The sequence below is a fragment of the Homo sapiens genome, chromosome 2 (assembly GCF_000001405.40).
Source record: "Homo sapiens chromosome 2, GRCh38.p14 Primary Assembly".
Classification (NCBI taxonomy): Eukaryota; Metazoa; Chordata; class Mammalia; order Primates; family Hominidae; genus Homo; species Homo sapiens.
In genome coordinates, this window is record NC_000002.12 from 118,471,809 (window position 1) to 118,494,415 (window position 22,607).

General features: G+C 42.6%; 1 long non-coding RNA gene across 1 annotated transcript in view, besides 3 other annotated features; it reads right to left on the bottom strand.

The window, feature by feature from the left end:
- The window catches only part of LOC105373579 (uncharacterized), a 33,603-nt gene extending 12,004 nt beyond the window's left edge, over positions 1-21,599 (bottom strand). The window contains exons 1-2 of the long non-coding RNA XR_923251.3: positions 21,000-21,599; positions 18,291-18,534 (exon numbers count right to left, since the gene is read on the bottom strand). This is a non-coding gene — a long non-coding RNA (uncharacterized LOC105373579). The remainder of the gene's footprint in view (positions 1-18,290; positions 18,535-20,999) is intronic.
- Positions 5,277-5,812: an enhancer, noted in NCBI's record as "NANOG-H3K4me1 hESC enhancer chr2:119234661-119235196 (GRCh37/hg19 assembly coordinates)". NCBI's record gives its function as "activates a minimal SCP1, AML or CMV promoter by ChIP-STARR-seq in naive H9 embryonic stem cells {active_cell/tissue: H9 hESC(naive)}" and the evidence as "EXISTENCE:reporter gene assay evidence [ECO:0000049][PMID:30033119]".
- Positions 17,881-18,441: an enhancer, noted in NCBI's record as "OCT4-NANOG-H3K27ac hESC enhancer chr2:119247265-119247825 (GRCh37/hg19 assembly coordinates)". NCBI's record gives its function as "activates a minimal SCP1, AML or CMV promoter by ChIP-STARR-seq in naive and primed H9 embryonic stem cells {active_cell/tissue: H9 hESC(naive and primed)}" and the evidence as "EXISTENCE:reporter gene assay evidence [ECO:0000049][PMID:30033119]".
- Positions 18,442-19,001: an enhancer, noted in NCBI's record as "OCT4-NANOG-H3K27ac hESC enhancer chr2:119247826-119248385 (GRCh37/hg19 assembly coordinates)". NCBI's record gives its function as "activates a minimal SCP1, AML or CMV promoter by ChIP-STARR-seq in primed H9 embryonic stem cells {active_cell/tissue: H9 hESC(primed)}" and the evidence as "EXISTENCE:reporter gene assay evidence [ECO:0000049][PMID:30033119]".
- Positions 21,600-22,607: the final 1,008 nt, after the last annotated feature.

Genomic DNA, 22,607 nt, shown 5'->3' on the forward strand with positions numbered 1-22,607 from the left:
TTAAGGGAGGAGGGCATAAAAGTTAATAATCAAATATTCTATTTTTCCATTAAGCACTTTGCACACACGTGCTCACATTTGATTAATATGGAAACCTGCTGATGCAGGCACTAACTCTCTCAAATTAGAGGCACCAATGCTCCAAGATAGGAAGCAGCTTGCCTAAGAAGAACAGATGACTAGTGAGTGAGAAAGTGGGATTTTGCCTGACTCCAAAGTTTATATTTTTCCTCCCCAGCCACCACCCTGCTGCAGCCACCTAGAGAACTACCCAGTTTCCAGTTCTGTACCTTGTTTATTTCCCAAGTTTTAACACCTGCACTGGGACTGAACTAGAATTCCGGCTGCAAAACTTCATTATCTCAAAGGGTTTGTGCTCAGAATTACGGAACCGGGGTCTGTCTATGGTGGGTTGATGTTTTTGTTTTTGTTTTTGAGAAGGAGTTTAGCTCTTTTTGTCCAGGCTGGAGTGCAGTGGCGCTATCTCAGCTCACTGCAACCTCCACCTCCCGGGTTCAAGCCATTCTCCTGCCTCAGCCTCCCAAGTAGCTGGGATTACAGGCGTGTGCCACCATGCCTGGCTAATTTTGTGTTTTTAATAGAGACAGGGTTTCACCATGTTGGCCGGGCTGGTCTTGAACTCCTGACCTCCAGTAATCCACCCGCCTCGGCCTCCCAATGCTGGGATTACAGGTGTGAGTCACCACACCTGGCCAGGTTGATGTTTATCTCCATAAATTTACTAGGTGGAAAGATAGATAGCAGTTTAAAGGAAGATATATTTCTACTCTTGGGCTGTGACACTATCTACTTTTTCAAGGACCCTCACTTTCCCAGGCCCCTGTTACTGACAGTTCTGTGAGCCACTCCTCCCACCTCCACCAACACTTTAAAATGTAAAATGTGAATGAATTAATTTTTTTACTTTGAAGTTCTCTTGACACTCCTTGAGGTAACTGGAGTCATCTGTGATAAAAATCAGATTTGGCAAGCAGATTTCTCCAAGCTTTCTATGTTTATTCTTTGCTTTCTTTCTCAGCAGACCAGTTTGCAAGGCCCCACCCATCCACTGCCCCAAATCATTGGTGCAAAACTTCTCCAGTAGAGAAGATACCCAAGCCTGAAATCCAAGCCACGATTTCATTGGATACATGAACACTTGACTTATTTTAAGGCTCTTGGCTTTGGGGTTTTATGAAAATCATAACCAGAATTAAAAAGGACAATGGAAGCCAGATGCTTCCTGTGTTTTATTTATTGATGAAGAAATTAAAGCTAAGGAGCTTAAGCAGGCTTCCAGAGTCACCTGCTGTTAGTGACAGAGCTGGAATTAGAACCTGGCGCTATGGACTGGAGCCCCAGCTTGGAGGGTGCAAGCACAGTTTCTCCTCTGGTGCATGAAGAAAGCCAGAGCGCCGCGCGGAACCAACACAGGGTGGTACCTATCCCAGAGGGTTAAGAGGGATTGAGTGAGTCCATACATGCGAAGTGTTTAGAACAGTGCCTGGAGCATAGAAAGTGCTCATTCTCATTATTATTTGATTAGCCCAGATGAATGTCTTTCAGAGCAGGAGAATGAGGCAGTGAAAGGTTTTTAGCGCTGACCTCCAATGCCAACGTGTGGATGCCAGAATAACTGCTGGTCATGTGTTGGAATCCGTACAAGAATGCAAGTCACTCACTCTTTCTCTAGGTTTTTAACTTCATTAGGCCAGCATTTTGAAAGCAAGTCTTTGAAATTAGAGTTGTTTACTTTTAAAATATTTAAAAGTCCTCCCGAACCTCTCTGTAAAGAAAAAGTAACTGGGCTGATAGAGGGAGGATTGCAGTCATTGTCACAAATACTATAAAAAAGCAGTTTACTTTCTCTGTTAAAACTAAGTATGACTTAAAGACTCTTTGGGCTTCTTTTCCTGGAGAAACTGGATATTTGTTATACAGGACTGATAAGTCTTTCAGGATCCGGTGTAAAGCCGGAACTTTTTGCAGCTTATGTCCTTATTTAAAAGGATATAGGGTACGCCTTTATTTCCTGGATATTTAGGAGATTCCAGAGAATTTGTTATTGTAAGAGAAATCTGCTTTGTGAAAATGAGAGCCGTATTTGCATTTCCTGTTCTAAACTCTTTTCCTAAAATTTGCACATTATGCTAACACCTGGACTGCTTGCTAAATTTCTGGAAAGTTGTCAGCTCTTCCCCTCCCCATGCTAAAGTCTCTGAGTTAGCCCCACCCTTTCCTACTCTTTATCCCCCTACTCCACGCCTAGACTCCAAGTCACAAGGCAAAGACTGAAAGGGGCGAGAGGCTGTAGGTACTACTCTAAGTAGAGGTACCAAGCACGACTCCATCACCTTAGAGGGACATTTGAGGGGAGACTGAAAGGGTGACTTAGGTCTGTGATATGTGGTTGGCCTCTGTGCATAGGTGGCACGACTCACCCCTGAACAGAGGACTCTTGCTTAGAGATTTCTGCTGGGTCAGTAAAGCTGATTCTTACAAAGGAAATGAGCCAGGCTAATTGATAATAACAGCTGTCATTATGGAGGGTTTACTTTGTGCTAGACGCTGTGTTAAGTGCTTTGCACACATTATCCCTTTAAATCCCCTGTAGCAACCCTGCAGAGAGGCCGTTATCACCCCTATTTCTCAGGGACTCACAAGGTGAAGCCCGGGGCAGAGCTAGAACTTCAGCCTGAGGCCCCCTCCCCCACACTCCTATGTGATTCAGGACCACAGAGCTGTTTGCAAATATCTCCTGTTTTCCTCCTTCATGAGAGAGAGATGTTATATGTGAGCTTCAGCCCTGGAAAAGGGGCTGCTCTAGGGCCTGGGCCCATTGGCATCGACCTGTATGACTTGGAACAAAATGCACGGTTCATCTGTGAGATAAGTTATTCTACTGGATCCTGCTTTCTTGGATTGTTATAAATTCTGTCTAGCATGTTGTTGGGATTCGTGACAGCCTCAAAATGTGAATATTGAGCCCTTTGGTCTAAGATGTTGTTTTCTGCTTATGCTTTGCTGAAGTTTGCCTCAAATGGAGGATTTAATGAGACAAAGCTATTTTCTCTTTAAATCTATTTCATTGCATTTAGGCAAAATGAAAATATGCAAATTCTCTTCCGTAGGGCTTGCCCTCGTCTCAACACCAGATTTCAAATGCAGAGGTGAGGAAAGAGGTTTAAAAGGTTTCGAGTTAGGACTTAGTCTTTCCTTCACATGCCCTGTGCCCTGCTGTCCTGCCATAGGCCGATTGGGTATCCAGGCTGGTGTGCTGCCGGTGTCCTGACATCTCCCACGACTTCTATCCCGTAAACATACTAGACACAACTTCCTTTTGAGGTCCCTCATTCTCTCTAAGATTGGGGGTCAGAACTTAGAAATAGTTTCTTTTTAAATTAATCACTGTGCCTTGACTGTTGACCCTGTACCCATTTATCATAACCAGTTCCTTTCCTAACCAGTTTCCTTGTGAGTGGAATTTCCAGTTTAAATTGCTTTGATTTCAACTTTAGTTTTTAAAGACTGCTGTCCCTCCTTCTTTCCCCCATTGAAGTAATGCTGTAGTAGGGCTGAGGGGCATATGAGGGCAAAATGTAGGGGAACCATTTTGGCATAAAATTTGACTACACCAAATGACTGTATCAAGGGGCAAAATCTGACCCTTTGTAGAGCCAAGTCAATGTCATGAGGCAGTTGTTTCTGGAGCTCTGATACAGTGGGTGTTTGAATCAAACTGCAATCCTCAGTCCCACCTTAAGTATCAAGCAGGCTTAGACGCTCTTCATGGTGTGCACCTGAATCTTGTATATGATCTATTGTTTAAAACCCATATCCCAAGAGAAGCAAATACTTAATTATCACCCTTATTTCCCAAATGCAGTTAGGTTATTGGTTTTGACTTAATGAAGAAAATAGTTGGTGGGAATGAGCCAGGCTCTGAAACACCAAGGAAAGAGCTGAGAGTTCTGAAGGAGGGGAAAGGGTGGCAAAGAATCAAATATATGCAACTAAGCACTTTTCATATTTCACATGAAACAGTTTGATACCATTTTTTAAAAGAAGGAAAGAAATATTTTAGATATTCTAAGCATATTGCTTAAACCACAAATTCTGTAAAAAATGAACAGCATAAGCTATTAACAGCCGCACGCGTCATAAACACCTTAGGCGAGACAATCAGATACTAATGCCAAAAGCACCTTGGAGCCATCAGTCTGCACAGGGCTCGACTTCTGCAATTTCATAAGATAAATGCCTCTGCTGTTTTAAGATGATGAAACTACAGCTGAGACGAATCTCCGTGTTTTTCACCAGTGATTTAATAAAGGCCAGCTCAGACTAAATATGGAACGGCTACTCTGAAAGCTTTTTTAGCTTTGTGCTGAAACGTGTTCAAACTTTCTTTTGTAAATTGATTGTATTCAAAGTTCCGATTTGTTTCGACATTTACTAAGTCGTGGACTTTAAATGTTCCATGTAACGCACTGTGGTTTTATGGGGAATTCAGGGAAAGATGCTTTCTTGGGCAAAGCCAGGGGCTGAGGATCCAAAAGTTGACTACTTTTCTTGGCCAAAAATGGCTGCCAAGGGAGACAGAGGAGAAAAAGGTGTCTGCATCATGGATTTTGCTGTCCTTACAATTAGGCTTCTCTTTTTTTAAGTGCTTATATCCATATGATGTCACCCTTGCCCTCAGGTTTATTTTTGTGTCTTAAGATGCTTTAAATACACATCCAATCAGTAAGTAGGTAGACAGTGAGATGGATATGGAGATGGACAGTCGGCAGCTCAGATAGCTAGATAAACACGCTTCAATATATTACAGGCAATTACTTCCAAAAGTATTTAAAATCCTAGGGGACAAGCCTGAATATAATTTTAGAGGATCTATTTAAATCCTATATTCATGAGTAAGAAAAGGTTTTCTTTTTCTCCATTTTTGATGAGCAAGAGAGGGCAAGCCAGCAAGAAAGCAAGCGAGGCAGGCCTGATTTATTAATATTTCTTTGGGCCCCTGTACTTGGCAACTGACTCTTTTAGTATGTCAACCATCCTCTTCCAGAATTACTGATGAGGTTGTGTGTGTGTGTGTGTGTGTGTGTGTGTGTGTATGTGTGTGTGTGTCCATATATGTGTGATTGTCATTGGTCTGCCAGCCCATTTTTCAGAATGGCAAGAGCCTGTTGGGAAAAAAGCAATGGTCCGTGTGCAGGTTTGGCTGGGGGCCCAGCACAGTTGACTCCTCAGAGGTGGTAGAAGCCCCCTGCCCACTGTCAAACGCTGCAGCTGGGGGCTGTGTCCGTCTGCCTGCCTGCCCCCCTGCACTGGGCCCTTCTGACTTTAATTACGTCCTCCTTGGCTAAATTCACAGGTGGCTTTCCTTGGAGGAGGCGTTTACCTCTCCCCAAGCCCCCGGCTGCTCATTTCCTCAGTGGATTAGCAGGGCCACGATGAAACAGAAGCTTGTGCCTTCTCCATTCTTTACACAACCTGGTGTTAGAGGTTGACCTTTCACCCCTGGAGATTCGGAGGATTAAGGCTGCTTTTAAGTCTCGCTCTGGTTACTAATCCACCACTTTCACTTCATGTTATGTAAGCACTTCCTGACTTACCCTTTAAATCCTGTAAACATAATAAAACAGAGTTTAACCTTTACCTTTGGATTTCCCCACTATCTTTTGCTCCATTGAATCAACTGTGGAAGGATCCAGGAACAGAAAGCTAATAAGTGATAGCCTGGATTTTTTTTTTGCCCTGGGACATGTAACAAAACATTACAATATTTAATATATTCAGGTCAAATAGTTGTGGGAGAGCACCAAAAGCTTCAGACTGGGCAAATACTGTTTTCCCCTTTTAACTGCATATATTCCCACAAAACAATGAAGCAGATGGTATTGGGTGTTTCCTCCCAAAGGGAAGCCCTTTTAAGCAAATTAGAACCAATAAGGTCCAAAAGATAGCTGGAAAAAAAAATAGGCTTTTGAGGCAGTTTGCAATAATACAGACTTTCAGTCTGGCTGTCTCAACCCTGCATCCTCCCGATACTAACCTGAGAGTCCCTCTCTTGAAGGCTTTGCTCTTTAATTTTTTGTTTTTTTTTTTTTAGACGGAGTTTCACTCTTGTTGCCCAGGCTGGAGTGCAATGGCGGATCTTGGCTCACCACAACCTCTGCCTCCCTGGTTCAAGCGATTCTCCTGCCTCAGCCTCCTGAGTAGCTAGGATTACAGGCATGCGCCACCATCCCCAGCTGATGTTGTATTTTTAGTAGAGACAGGGTTTCTCCATGTTGGTCAGGCTGGTCTTGAACTCCTGACCTCGTGATCTGCACGCTTCGACTTCCCAAAGTGTTGGGATTACAGGCAATTTATCTTATCTTTAATCCATATGATCTGTGGATGAAACCAAAGTTCTGAGATCTGTACATCTCCAACTTCAGCTTCCATTTCTGGAGCACTTACTATATGCTGGAACCCATGCTGGGGAATATACTTGTCCTTTGATATCTGTTGGGGGTTGATTGGTTCCAGGACCCCTGTAAGTGCCAAAATCTGTAGATACTCAAGTCCCTGATATAAAATAGAGTAGTGTGTGCATATAACTTACACATACCCTCCTGCGTACTTTATTTCTAAGTTACTTAGAATAACCAATACAATGTAAATGTTGTATAAATAGATGTTATACTATATTGTTTAGGGAACAATTACAAGAAAAATTATCTATGTGTTTAGTACAGATGCAACTATCCATTTTTTTTCAAGTATTTTTGATTTTCAGTTGGATGAATCCATGAATGCAGAAGCCATGGACATGAAGGGCCACTGTACATGCATGGTATTAATTTAATCCTTACTATCGCCCTGTGTTGTAGGTGTTAGTAGGTGTCCTCATCCGTTTTTGAAGAGACTTAAATTCAGAGCTGCTAATACAGAACTGGGGTGCCAGCCCAGCTCTGCCTGGCCCTGCCCAGGCATGGAGCCTGCCTGAGTGCTGAGCCACTCTCAGGTAGACACGAGCACACCATGCCCTTTGTCGCTCCTTCTCACAGCAACTTTTTCAATCCTCACAGCTTCCGGGGCAGGTAGCAGAGTTGCTCCCATTTGAGAGTTGAGAACATGAGGAGCCATAAAAATAAAATATTAATTTTCATGTATGAATATTTCAAAATGTTCACAGGAGAAAATGTGACGTGCCCTAGGAGGGGTGGGAATCAGGGATGTGGGGGCTGCTGGCCCATGCAGGTGGTGAATCTCAGTTTCTATGGGGGTTCCCTGGGATTCCTTTAGATTCTCTATTCATCTCTATCCCCAGAGGCTTTCTGCAGGAAGGGACCCCTGCCCTGTCTGCCTACTAGAGAGACGCCTTGCCTTGCCAGTGTCCTCAAAGGGGGAAGGTGATACAGAAGCTGAATGCCAGGTGGGTGGCCAGGGCAGCCTGCTGCTCCGCCATGCTTCTCACAACCTGCCCTGCCACTGTGGGGGAGCTAATGGGCATCGGAACACTTAAGAAATGCCTCCTGACAAGAGACACTTGTGATTCGTGTCCTGCGGTCAATGCCTTCTCAGTGAGTCTCTGCAGAGGTTTACTGTGCTGTTAGTGACGAGCATGTCCTTTCTTGTAAATGGCTGTGTCACTGCTTTGCTCCTGCACAATGCCCACACACGTGGGGATACCTGTTCCCACTTGAGGTGCTGGCCCCCCAACCTGCTAAGCATAATAGCTGGGGAGGAAGGGCACACCCACGCCCAGCAGATCTTTCCTCTGCGTTCCACACAACTTCCTGCAGAGGTGGAAAGACAGAGAAAAGAGGACATCTGAGAGGGAAAGGAGATGCTCCAAAGCAGGTTGAACCCACATCCATCTCGGTTTGGGGTCCTCAGGCTTCACAGTGCAGAGACCCAGGTATGCACACACTGTGCATACTCACTCACACACTCAGCCCTTTTGTCTCTCCTGATAAAGTTCACTCAGTTCAGTCCTTCCTGGGTTCTACCAGATGGGAAGAGGAAAATCCAAGTAAGTCTCTTCATCTGTGAAATGCACAATTAGTACCCACCCTGCCTACTTCTCAAAGTTTTTTGAAGGTCACATGAGGGTGAGTGGGATTAAATTTTGCAGGCATTTTAAAATTGTAATCCAAATTAAAAAACCCTAATAGCATATAAGATCCATGAAGACAAGGACTTTGTTTTGTCCACTGCAATATTTCCAGACCCTAGAACAGTACCTGGCACTGAGTTGGTGTTCAATTAATATTTGATAAATCAGTGAATCGATAATTGCATAATACCAATAATAAGTTAATATAATTTATCACAAAACCATGGAGGCACATGACCATTTTAGATATACTTGCAATGGAATATGCTATAAATGAGCTTACCAGGTAACAGAGCCTTTTTGGTTTTTGCAAACCAATATTCCTGTAAAGGATACTAGGCAGCATCTGAATATTTGACAAGATATAACAGGAGTTCTTGCAGTTGAAATGGCAGACAGTCATAGTAATTACAGTAAAATATCCTTAGCCCAAAGTTGCTTGACCTGCAAGCAGTGATCTGAAATGCAGCTGAGGACCCAAGAGGAAACAAAAAGCTTGAGTGGTTGACATGGCTGTCCTAGAGCTCAATATGTTGGAGCTCAATTGTCCCACTTGGAATCCATTAGCTCTTACTTTGCACCTAATCATAACATACACAGCGATTTATTTTCCCAAACTAGAAGTGAAAAGAAAAGGTGAGAGAAAAGGCAGAAAACCTAATAAAAATAAAAATTTTAAAAATGCATTCTAAAAATATCTGAGTTGGGATCAATTGAGTTAGAGATCAATTTACTTACAAAATCTCACAGTTCTTTAGTATTCATTCACTTTTTAATTTTTAAGCAACTTGAAATTCTTAATGATAGCTCAGCATTTCCATGAAAAACTTAAATGATTTTCTGAATATGCTTTTAAAAGAAACAGATGTGATTTCTAGCCAAAAGGCACTCTAAAGGCATATAAAGGGATAGCTGCTCCAATAAGATGACAAAGAACATGTATCCCGGAGTTATGTTGAGTGTCTCAATCTCAACATCACCATAATAGTATGCAATACTATTATATAAAATACTAATATATAGAATTATAGCAATATATTGTTCTATATAATTCTATATATTAGTGTATAATAATACTAATATAATAATACTAATATATAGAATTATAGCAATAATTAATAATACTTTCAGTTATCATCCTGGGGATGACCTAATAAAAGATTCTTAACAAAAATTCAGCTCTCAGTATTAACAGGATTTTTTTTTCTGGAAATTTTATGTCAAATATTTCTGGCAGCAAATGCATTTGCTAAATTTCATGCCATAAATAACCATAACCACTTAGAATTGTTGTTACATGGCTTCCTTGTAGTTCACACTTATCAATCAGTACGGGTTGCTAAGGCCAAACAGTTCCCAGATCAAATGGCAATGAAGAAAAGAATCAGGGTAGATGTATTTTATGGCATAAGATTCTTTTCAAATTGGAAGTGTGAAAAGAATCAATTTAACCAGGTGTCTAAGTGTCCCAAGAGTCCAGAGAGAGCAATTACTGAAATAACAAAAATGGATGCAAAAGAGAAAAAACAAAAAAGGCCCTTCCTATCGGTAATTCTGGGAAGGCAGTTTATGCCTTGTAAACTTTCTGTTTCCATAGCTCCTCCACAAACAATGGATTTGAGCTATAAAAAACTGCATGATCTACAGTCCAAACACTCAGTGCAAAGATGACTTTTCTGAAAGAAAATGTGACAGAGCTGGGGTTTTGAGTTTCTGGATAATTCTCTTTGGGTAAAAGCCATTTAATATTATTGTGGGTAAGAAGTGGCCCTCTTCTGGCATCCATCTTGCCTTCTACAAACCAACGAGTTGGGTTAGTGTTTGTTAAATTTCTTTTAATTAGGACCCCTTGATTCAGTATGTGCCTGATAAACAGATAAACATAAGTTGCTCTAGTGAGATCTGGGATGGGCGGTTCTGGAGTCTGTTCACTAACTGCCCTCTCCTCCACCCGCAAGGCCCTAAGGACACCTAGAAGAACCCCTGGCACTTGATGGAGACCATCAGAAAATACTTCCTCTCCTTGCCCGGGTCTAAGAGTCTATGGTTATTTTATTACATTCAGATGCAATCCTCTCAGTCAGAAATTTCCCATGTTTGAGGACATGGTTAGGGAATCAGGACTGCTCCAGAATATTTTTAAATTTATAATAAGAAAAAGTCAGCTTCAAAAAAATGCTGAAGGTAGCAGCACAATCACAGTTCTAATGATGGAGGGCACATAATAACTAAGCTCTTAAGAAATCCAGAGCAGTGAGGGCTGGCCTTCAGTCTGGAGCACCGTTAGCGACCATCTCTAAGGCTTGCCCTTCAAGCACATTTAACACCCAGGGTGAAGAAACCCTGAAACTCTACGCTCTTTAGGGACAGAACCTCAACTTATTAGTCCTGGAATACTCAGTCAATAACAGAAGAGTCAAGTTGAAGGGAACCTTGAGTAGTCAGCAGGCACATCCTCTGTGTCCAAGTGGTTTGTGCCTTTGTTTGTTTGTTTGTTTGTTTGTTTGTTTGTTTGAGACGAGGTCTTGCTCTATTGCCGAGGCTGGAGTGCAGTAGTGTGATCACAGCTCACTGCAGCCTCTGTCTCTTGGAATCAAGCAATCCTCCTGCCTCAGCCTCCTGAGTAGCTGGGACTATAGGCACATGCCACCAAGCCTGGCTACTTTTTTTTAATTTTTAGTGAAGATGAGGTCTTGCTATGTTTCCCAGGTTCTCGAACTCCTGAGCTCAAGGGATCCTCCCATCTCAGCCCCTCAAAGTGCTGAGATTGCAGGGATTATGTGCCTGGCCATTCTTGTCTTAAGATTTCCAGGGAAGAGCTTCTGTGACATGCCCTAGTCACTATTATGGGGACTTGTAACCTCCAGGACTGAGAAACCCTTTTTTGATAACAAGCATAAACCTTTCATACAGGGATCAGTACCCATTTTTTGTCTCTACAGAGGCAATGAAGAACTGCTGATGAGTCTTCTCAACACCTTGGAGCTTTCTCAAGTCCCGTATCTTTATTTTTTCCTTGGTGTGGAAATTGCAAGTGACTTCAGCTACAGACGTTGTGAATTAATTTCCTATGCCTGCCCCTGGGGTTCTGGAAGGAAATGGGTGCACCTGCCCCAAATCAAATGAATAATTCATATCGCATCTGGGTCTAAAAGGTGATAGGCAGCATAGAAATACAGAAACAGCTGGAAACAAGGTTAAGGATGTCCTCTCCAAAACAGAGAGGCTGGAAGGCAAACTTGTTTTGCTGTTTACCCTGGTGCTAGTCTTCTGAGCTTGATCAGCTTGAGGTTTTGTCACATGCATTTCTCTGAAAGCTCTGGTTGGGGCTCAGAGGACAAAAAAGTCAAAAGAAGACAAGGCTCAGGGAATGGCCAACTTCTCCAAAGCAACAGAAGGTCACCCAGCATGGAAGCCCAGCGAGCATACCTCTGGGTACTCAGACATCTGTGGACAAGTGTGTCTCCCTCCCAGCAGCAGAGCTGGTATTGCGAGAAGGCAGGTGTTTGGGTATAGCCATAGCAAAGATAGGACTCCAGTTCACATCACTGTGGAAGATTGTTTTGGCAAAGATTTCCAATATATACTCCATCTCACATGCTCTTTTTAATGAAACATTGACATTGATCTTGGAAAAGTGAGAGGTCTTTTTTTTTTTTTTTCCTTCTTGGATCTGGATGGATGTCTGTAATTGTTTCAATGAAAAGAATATGGTGGATGTGGCATGCTGTGACCGCTGAGGTAAGCTCATGAAAGGCAATATATTTTGCCTAGCTCTTTTTCTTTCTGGATGCTTGTTCTTGGTATATTACCACCATGTCGTGAGGAAGCCTAGATCACACGGAGAGACCACTCAACAGCCACAGCAAAGGGCTTTGCAGGCAGCTAGCATCAACCTCCAGGCATGTAAGCGAGTAAGCCTGCAGATGATTCCAGTCCCCTGTCATTGCATGTTCCAGCAGAGGCACTAGGCATTGTGGGAACAGAGACTAGACATTTCTGCAGTGTCCAGGCTGAATTCCTGGCTCACAGAAATTGTGAGAGATAATAAGTCATAATTGTGGCTCCTAGGCACTACGTTTTGGGGTAATCTGTGAACAGCAACAGATAACTAATTCAGCCACCTTTGGCAAATCAGTCACCCTTTTCTGCCTCAGTTTTCTAATTCTCTACAAAATCTGCTCTTGAAGGTCCACAGGTGAAATTAAAAAGGTAACCGATGTAAATGGTCTTCTGCATAGTGTGTGGTGTGTGAAAGGGAGCTGATGTTATGTTATGGGTGACCAAGACAAGTCAGAGACACACCCAGCAGGCTGATTCCCTTTGGGCATCTGTTTATGTCACCTGGGGCCAGTTCCACTTCCAGGCCACACTGTGCATACAGTACCTGCCCTCGTCCTGCTGCCTTTGTTTTCTCATCATTTGCCCTGCTCAGTTCTCAATCCCTGAGTTAGATGCTGAGCGCCTGTGGACTGAACCTCAACACTCTGAGCACCTATGAGGCATGCAGCAATATTGGGAGTTCTGCTTTGCTTTGTTTTTTAACTCAAGAGTTTTGCCAATCCCAGGGAGGACCTGCACTGGGGCATGGGTGGGGTTAGAGAAGGAAGAGGTGGCCTTCCCTTCCTGCTTTTTGTGCTTGATGATTTGTTTTTCTCTTTCCAGACTTACCTCTGGGTTCCTTCTCCTTGGAACCTCTGCTCACCTGCCTCCCGGCTCCTCTATGTCTTCTGGGGCAACCGGTATTCTCTCCTAGTCGTACCACCACACTGTCTACATTATCTCCAGCACCCCATTAGCCCATGAGCCCTGGAGAAATGGGATTGAGTGTCTTATACCCATATCATCAGTAATTTACACAATGCTTGACACAGAGCAGGTGGTCAAAAAAATGTGGGAAGATGAGTAACAACACATGAATGAATGAAAAAATGAATTGATAAAGCCAGATCTGGTTTATTTGCCATTTGTTGCCATGGTAATTTAGGAAAAGTCTATTTATTACTCTTCTGGCTATTTTAATCATCTTCAATTGTGGAAAGTGTTAACACTCTGTTAAAAAGGTAAACTGAGGTGGCTGGGCACGGTGGCTCACGCCTGTAATTCCAGCACTTTGGGAGGCTGAGGCGGGTGGATCATAAGGTCAAGAGATCAAGACCATCCTGGCCAACATGGTGAAACCCCGTCTCTACTAAACATACAAAAATTATCTGGGCGTGGTGGTGTGAGCCTGTGGTCCTACTCAGGAGGCTGAGGCAGGAGAATCACTGGAACCCGGGAGGCAGAGGTTGCAGTGAGCTGAGATCGCGCCACTGCACTCTGCCTGGTGACAGTGCAAGACTCTGTCTCAAAAAAAAGGTAAACTGAGGCATAATACAATTTTTAAAAGAGTCTATTTGATAAAACAATGATTCATGAATTGGGCAGCTCTAAACCAGAAGCGGTTCAGGTGCTCCACTGAGGGAATGCAAGGGGGTGGAGCAGGGTGCAGCTTTTATAGAACAGATACACATTTAAAGCAAATAACGTATTTGATTGGTTACAGTTATACAGTTGCCTCATATGGCCTATCCAATTGGAAAGTCCCTAGTTATATAGTTATAAGATTGTTGGCTATTTCTGATTTGTTGAACTTAAATTCTGTTTGTTTTGTTTGTTTGTTTGTTTTTAATATAGGAGTTTACAAGAAATAGCTCGAGTTAAGTTTCCCTTATGTTTGCAAATCAAGCAAGGCTTAGGTCACTTATGAGGCCTAACTGGTTTTGTCCACTCAGGGATTCTCCATTTTAATTTACTTTAACAACCCCTACTAAAGACAAAATGTGTATGAAAGTAGTCACGAACTGTAAAGTGTTATTCAAATAGGAAGAGTATCGTTTGTTTACTCTGCATAGAAGAAAAGACGGGCTGCGAAGAAAGAGAACAGCATCTTTTGGCTTAGGATTGACTTGGCGATGCGGGCTCTATTTTGGTTCCATATGAACTTTAAAGTAGTTTTTTCCAATTCTGTGAAGAAAGTCATTGGTAGCTTGATGGGGATGGCATTGAATCTGTAAATTACCTTGGGCATTATGGCCATTTTCACGATATTGATTCTTCCTACCCATGAGCATGGAATGTTCTTCCATTTGTTTGTATCCTCTTTTATTTCGTTGAGCAGTGGTTTGTAGTTCTCCTTGAAGAGGTCCTTCACATCCCTTGTAAGTTGGATTCCTAGGTATTTTATTCTCTTTGAAGCAATTGTGAATGGGAGTTCACTCATGATTTGGCTCTCTGTTTGTGTGTTGTTGGTGTATAAGAATGCTTGTGATTTTTGTACATTGATTTTGTATCCTGAGACTTTGCTGAAGTTGCTTATCAGCTTAAGGAGATTTTGGGCTGAGACGATGGGGTTTTCTAGATATACAATCATGTCGTCTGCAAACAGGGACAATTTGACTTCCTCTTTTCCTAATTGAATACCCTTTATTTCCTTCTCCTGCCTAATTGCCCTGGCCAGAACTTCCAACACTATGTTGAATAGGAGTGGTGAGAGAGGGCATCCCTGTCTTGTGCCAAGTCAATCCTAAGCCAAAAGAACAAAGCTGGAGGCATCACACTACCTGACTTCAAACTATACTACAAGGCTACAGTAACCAAAACAGCATGGTACTGGTACCAAAACAGAGATATAGATCAATGGAACAGAACAGAGCCCTCAGAATTAACGCCGCATACCTACAACTATCTGATCTTTGACAAACCTGAGAAAAACAAGCAATGGGGAAAGGATTCCCTATTTAATAAATGGTGCTGGGAAAACTGGCTAGCCATATGTAGAAAGCTGAAACTGGATCCCTTCCTTACACCTTATACAAAAATCAATTCAAGATGGATTAAAGATTTAAACGTTAGACCTAAAACCATAAAAACCCTAGAAGAAAACCTAGGCATTACCATTCAGGACATAGGCATGGGCAAGGACTTCATGTCCAAAACACCAAAAGCAATGGCAACAAAAGACAAAATTGACAAATGGGATCTAATTAAAATAAAGAGCTTCTGCACAGCAAAAGAAACTACCATCAGAGTGAACAGGCAACCTACAAAATGGGAGAAAATTTTCACAACCTACTCATCTGACAAAGGGCTAATATCCAGAATCTACAATGAACTCAAACAAATTTACAAGAAAAAAACAAACAACCCCATCAAAAAGTGGGCGAAGGACATGAACAGACACTTCTCAAAAGAAGACATTTATGCAGCCAAAAAACACATGAAAAAATGCTCATCATCACTGGCCATCAGAGAAATGCAAATCAAAACCACTATGAGATACCATCTCACACCAGTTAGAATGGCAATCATTACAAAGTCAGGAAACAACAGGTGCTGGAGAGGATGTGGAGAAACAGGAACACTTTTACACTGTTGGTGGGACTGTCAACTAGTTCAACCATTGTGGAAGTCAGTGTGGCGATTCCTCAGGGATCTAGAACTAGAAATACCATTTGACCCAGCCATCCCATTACTGGGTATATACCCAAATGACTATAAATCATGCTGCTATAAAGACACATGCACACGTATGTTTATTGCGGCATTATTCACAATAGCAAAGACTTGGAACCAACCCAAATGTCCAACAATGATAGACTGGATTAAGAAAATGTGGAACATATACACCGTGGAATACTATGCAGCCATAAAAAATGATGAGTTCACGTCCTTTGTAGGGACATGGATGAAATTGGAAATCATCATTCTCAGTAAACTATCGCAAGAACAAAAAACCAAACACCGCATATTCTCACTCATAGGTGGGAATTGAACAATGAGATCACATGGACACAGGAAGGGGAATATCACACTCTGGGGACTGTTGTGGGGTGGGGGGAGGGGGGAGGGATAGCATTGGGAGATATACCTAATGCTAGATGACGAGTTAGTGGGTGCAGCGCACCAGCACGGCACATGTATACATATGTAACTAACCTGTACAATGTGCACATGTACCCTAAAACTTAAAGTATAATAAAAAAAAAAAAAGAAAAAAAAAAAAGAAAGAGAACAGCATCATCAGCAACAGTAGTGGTCATCATGATAGTAGCTCACACCTAGCACTAGTTACATGCCATGCTCAGCAATAAATGTATTAAACCTTAATCTTCTGAACAACTCAAGGGGCTAAATGCTGTGATTTGCATTGACACTTTACAAATGTGGAAACTGAGGCACACAGGGCTTAAGTAACTTTCCCAGAGGTGCAGAGCTTGGATTCGAGCCCAGGCTACTTGGCCTTAAGGTCTGTACTTTTAACCACAACCCTGAGCTGTCTCTTAAAATTCACCTGCACAAGGAAGCCTCTGAGACCTCCTCCCCATCTGCCAAGAGGTCCAAAGGCCTCAGTACCCATTAGACTCAGATAAAACATACCAGCAAAGAGATGTTAGGAGGGAGCTTTGTAACAGGCTAGAAGGGATTTATCTGAAACACCTTCCTTACTGGCCAGGCTCTGGACTGGGATTGCCACCATTACAGCTTTGACATCTTTGGATAGACTGACCTTCAGAAGACTTGTTAAAGTGTAAATGTTGGCCGAGCACAGTGGCTCACGCCTGTAATTCCAGCACTTTGGGAGGCCGAAGCATGCCGATCTCCTGAGGTCAGGAGTTCGACACCAGCCTGGCCAACATGGTGAAACATCGTCTCTACTAAAAATACAAAAATTAGCTTTGCATGGTGGCGGGCACCTGTAATTCCAGCTACAGCTGAGGCAGGAGGATCACTTGAACCTGGGAGGTGGAGGCTGCAGTGAGCCAAGATTGTCCCACTACACTCCAGCCTGGGCAACAGAGCAAGACTCTGTCTCAAAAAAAAAAAAAAAAAAGTGTTAATGTTCCTGGGTTGATAGGGAAACTCACTGACATTTTGGCAAGAATTTGTTCTCAGACTTTCCACCTTCATCTATTTATGTCCTGCCGACGCACACTCTAATTAAGCCAGGCTTCATTCTCTTCCTCCTCTCTAAGACAGACCCCTTCTTGCCCCTCCACCTTTGCTCAGTCCCTTCGCTTTGCCCAGGATGCATTTTCCTGACATTTGCTATTAAAGCTTTGCCCTCTCTAAGATGTTGCTCAAGAGCCACCTTCTCTAAAAAATTTTCTGTTATTTTATAATAGTAACACTATTCTTTTCACATAAGGTTGTTAGAAGGACTACATTTTTAAGCAAGTAGTAAATTACACTTTAAAGTAAAAGACTTAAAAATCATTCCTTAGAGATAAATTAGGAAAGAGAAAAAGAACAAAAGCAAGTTGACGTAGTGGAAAGATTTCAGGGCGAGAAGTCCTGGGTTTTAGTCCTGATTTGCCCCTAGTTAGTGGAGTGATTCTGGTACCTCCGCTACCGTGAATGAGAACTTTCAACTAAATGACCTCAAGGACTCCCCCACACTTTGAGTCTAGACTATCAGGAGAAAGGCACTCAGGCAGAGGAGATGAAGAATGCGGAGGCTGAAGCTCTCCTTAGGCTGGGGAGAGGGTGCTGAAGAGCCTGTCTTCTACTTTTTAATCTTGCACCAGACCAGGGCTGCTAGGCTGGGTGGATTGATGGTTTGACCCAAAACAATTATTGTTTTTTAAATGTGAATACTTCTTTCTTTTTTTATTTATGGTGTACAACGTGATATTTTGATGTATGTATAAAAGTTGAGCTCATAGAAGCAGAAAACAATGGCGGTTACCAGAGGCTGGGGTGGGGAGATCGGGGAGGTATTGGACAGAAGACACAAAATTTTAATTAGACAGGAAGAGTAAGTTCAAGAGATCTACTTTATATTATAGTGACTATAGTTAATACCAATATACTGTAAACTTGAAAACTGCTAACATAATAGATTTTAAGTGTTTTAACCACACATACAAAAATCAGCTGGGCGCAGTGGCTCACAGTTGTAATCCCAACACTTTGGGAGGCTGAGGTGGGAGGATCGTTTGAGCCCAGGAATTTGAGGCCACAGTGAGCCATGACTGCACTGCTGCACTCCAGCCTGGGTGACAGATCAAGACTCTGTCTCTAAAAACAAATCAACCAACCAAACAAACAAACAAGCAAAAGATAAGTATATGAGGTAACGCATATGATAATTAGCTTGATTTAGCATTCCACAAAACAATTATGCTAATGGACTGCTCACCAGGGTCAGCTTCAGCCTGGGGGCTCCTTCCTGTCTGCTTCTGAGTTTGTTCCTGGTGCTTATGCTGCACATTTCTCCCTTTTCGAGCCACGCTCCTTTGCCCTTCCAGCTTATATGGCTCTCAGGCAATGTCCTGAAGGTCTGTAGAACCCAGGACCCACCAGGAAACGTGCCCATTCTCTTCACATTTGTATCTGGGACCCGAAGATAACAAAACAGAGCAGGGAAAGCCATCTTCCATGGGCTATAAAACAGGAAGGCTCCAAATGACAAATCAGAAGACCCATTCTTATCCTCCCTTTCTTCCCCCCACACTAAAGTTATTAGCATTGTCATTGTTATTAATGATTCGAAAGCAACCCATGCATTAGCCTTGGATCCTTTGCTGCTTTGACTCCGCAAGGGCTTTGTCATTAAGCTGGGGAATTATTTTCACTGTGGATTCAGTGGGACCAGGTGTTTTTCCATGTTCCGGAGAGATGTCATGGAATTCGGGGCCTTGGCAGAATAGCAGTCTGCCACAGATCAAGCCTGAGGGGTGAGGCCCCTCCTATTTCACTCCAGCTGTGTTTAATGCTGAGGAAACCAAAGTGGTTGGAAGACAGCCTTAACTTTTTCATTCTTATTGTTCTGGCTAAACTCAACACATCCCTCGGGGCCCCGATCAAACTCATGTCCTCTCAGGGGCCTTTTCCAAGTACACTGTCCCTTTTTATCTTTCCTTTCTTTGAGCAACTTGTGCCAGTACCGCAACAGGCAGTATGGCACCCTTGGGTGACCAAAATGGAAAAAGGTTATGGTGCTCACAAAAGCAATTCCCAAAAAGAGCTCTACCAGCTCATAAGATAAAGGCAAGAAAAGCCAGTACAGTTCTGATTTCTCCCCAAATTCCTTTACAGACTTTCAAAATATCAAATTCTACTTTTAATGGTGTTGTCTTCATTTCTTTGGCACGCGGTCTTTGCTGTTCTCTGAGTATGTGCTGTGTGGTCTGTTGGGGAATTCACTACAGGCATTGATGCTAAGGCAGAGGGGAGGGTAAGAAAGAAGAAAAAGAGAGAAGGATGGTTCAGAAGAAGAATTGTTGCCTGTTGTGCACAGACCCTCCACCTTTTAGTCCTAAGAAAGCAGCCTAGAGAAAGATGAAAAGGAAGGAGAAAGACAGGTGTGAGCTCCTCAGGGAACAGCCAGAAAACTGAAAAGGGAGAAAAGGCACTTTTAGACTCTCATCTCCAACTGCTCCTCATGCACAAACCTTCGGCAGCTCTTTGGGAAAATGCAGAGGTACAGCATGGCCAGAGACGACTCATGCAAGTTAAAACGTTCAGATCCCAATTAGCAGTGACCAGTGATGACACCAACTGGAGCAGTCACTTTTTTCTCAAAATAGAAGTGCCTGCATTTCCACATTCTTGGGTGTAAAGCAACTTTTATAAGATTTTCCCAGCCTAGGTATGTTTTATGGCTTCTCAACTCAGCCTGAAAATATTAATCAAGATTTAAAATATCTGACTTGGAAAGGCCTATAAATGTTCAGGGCTGTTGTGGAGGTGAGAGAAAAAGGACTGCAAAATGCAGCCTGAGAATTTCACCGAAAGCACTGCTTTCTGCATGAAAGCAGGACCATAAGAAACAGAAGCGAGAAGCGGATCTTTATAAGGGAAGGGTCCAGAGCACCATATCTTATCTGTTAAAGAGTTTTTCATCACAGGGCTAATAAGCATTCTAGAAAAGAGAGGTTCTGCTGATAAACAATCTAGAAAAATGCTGAATAAAACAAGTAAGTTTTTAAAAATGTTATTTTAATTGTAGGACTGCTCATATGGGCTCACTGCATTGTGACTGATGGGAAATCTTGTGTCAAGCATAAACTTAAAAAGACATTGAACAAACAATGGAACACTATTTGGGAAATGATCAGATGGCCCAGTAGGTGGAGGGACGCCTGTCTAGCTGGTATGGAGTGCTCTGTACCAGCCTAAATTGCCAACATCAATTATTTACTGGGGGATGGCATGAAGCATTTTCCTTGGCTGTTCTCATTTACAGTGCAAGAATCCTGGATAGACTCAACTTAGATTTTAACCCATGAGTTAGAAGAGAATGAGCATTTTGATGGAGGGAGGGATACTGAATTTGGACTATTTAGGGGGACTTGTGCAGAGAAAGAGCCTGGAGAACCTAGGGATGGGGTTGGTTTGAGAGGATGTGGCAGAGAGGAATGGCAGTCAAGGAGAGAAGAAGAAGAAGCAGATGGACACTGCTTCAGAATCACCTGAGAGACTTCCAAAAAAACCAATGCATGGGGTACCACCTCAGATCCATCTCAGGTGTGACCTAGGTCACAGTACTTTTTAAAATCTCACCAGGTGATTCACTTGTGCTACCAAGGTTGAGAACCATCCTTTAAGGTTTTACAATATGCTTGCAATTCTGATAGCTTCCACAAGGTGGTAGTTGATTTTAGTTTCATAAGCAAATAATTAGACTCACTCTGACAACTGAGAGAAAGCAAGATTAAAAATTATGCAAGCTTGTGCTTCCCATTACAATATATTTCTTCATAAAGATGAAAGCATGGATTTAATTAAGCTACAATGCCTACCTAGAAATAACAAACAACAATTTAGAAGATTTTAAATAAATGCAAACACCTAAATTCAAGGTGAACGCTCACCAAATTTTTAATTATAATTATTCACTACTTACCTTTTATCTTATTTCCAGGGAAGATTTCCTGCATTCACCTTCCCACCGGGACTTACACTCAACTTCCACTGGGAATTTCAGCTCTAGCTCACCAAGAGCAACCAAACAGTGAAGGGGGAGCCACCTCGCACTGTAACTGATGGAAATAGTGGTCACAGCAAGAAAAAGATTGTCTATGACAAGCAGTGAGCATCGCTTCAGGGCCTCTAACCCTGTCCCTATGCCCCAAAACAGACTGCAGGCAATTTAAAAGTCGTGAGAAATCTCAGTAATGCTTTCCAATCTGAAAAGAAGAGGACCAGAGCCAAGTGGAGCAGCTCTGAGGAAAGTGAAGAAAAAGTCATTGAGAGTAGGGACTTTGATGCGCTGCCATTGCCTCAGCAGAGGGAGGGTCAGACCATGGCAGGAAAGGCCACCAGAGCTTTCCATAATGCAGATGACTCTGCCAGGTTGGGGAAGAGGGCTCAGCTAATCCCACAGGACAGGATGCACCTCTGGCTGAGTGGAATGGTCGCTGGTACAGAACGTGTAAAAAGATCTCAGAAAAGAAAGCAGAACCGAGACTGTCCAGCCAGGGCTGTGCTCAGCTGCCATTAATCTTTTTTCTTCACTTCTGCATCGCTGAGTCACAAAGGAGCAGTGGATACGTAACATTGTCGCCTCACAATACAGCTCTAAGGAAAGACCTATAACTGTAATAGGTTCCTTGCCCGATGCATACAACAAGTCAATACACTAAAACACTGAGTTGCAGCACAGAAAGAGATTCAAAGGTAGGGTAGCTGAGTGAGGAGATGTTAGGAAACCTCAAATCCACCTCCCCAAGGAGATTGGAGGTAGGGTTTTTAAGAGTTTTGGAGTGGGCCAAAGTGTGGAGATCATTGATTGGTTAAAGAGTGCAGGGTAAAGTCATTGGATACAGAGATTAAGAAGCTGTGTTCTCATGCTGATCACGTTCCTCTGTGGGGGGTTGGGAAGGGGGACTTTAAAGTGGCTACTCGAATTTGGGGCTGGAAAAAACCTTCTTAAGTGATTCTTAAACAAAAACCTTATGATTCTAATGTCAGAGATCCTGTCTACAGGAACAATGAGGATGCAAGTCAGTTCCTAAACAGTCTTATGACCCTATATCAGAAATCCTACCTACAGGAACGATGGGGATGCAAGTGGCCACTATCTAGTGCTATGTGGCTTTTAGCAACAAGGAAGTGGGCCAAGGTGCAGTCTGATTAGTGCTTCACTTTAACTATATTTCTGTCCAGAACCCGGCACGCAATTGTTGTCACCCCTGTGGGGTTGGTTTCAGACAGAGAAGATGAGAAGGATTCAGAAAGAATGAACTCAATACTTCAAACAAACAAGGTCTGGACAAACATGGCCAGGTTAATCATGAGAAAGAAAAAAAAAGAAACGGCATGAGAACTGCTAAACGTACTACACCAGAAACACTAATACAATGATAATTGATAATCAAATGAAAAACACATATAACCTGCAAAGAAGCAGCTGAAGGACCCAGTCTGGAAGAAGATATGACTGAAGAAACAGTAGCAGGTTTCCCACAAGTACTTTATGCTATGGAAGAGCTTAGTAAGAATATTAAAAACA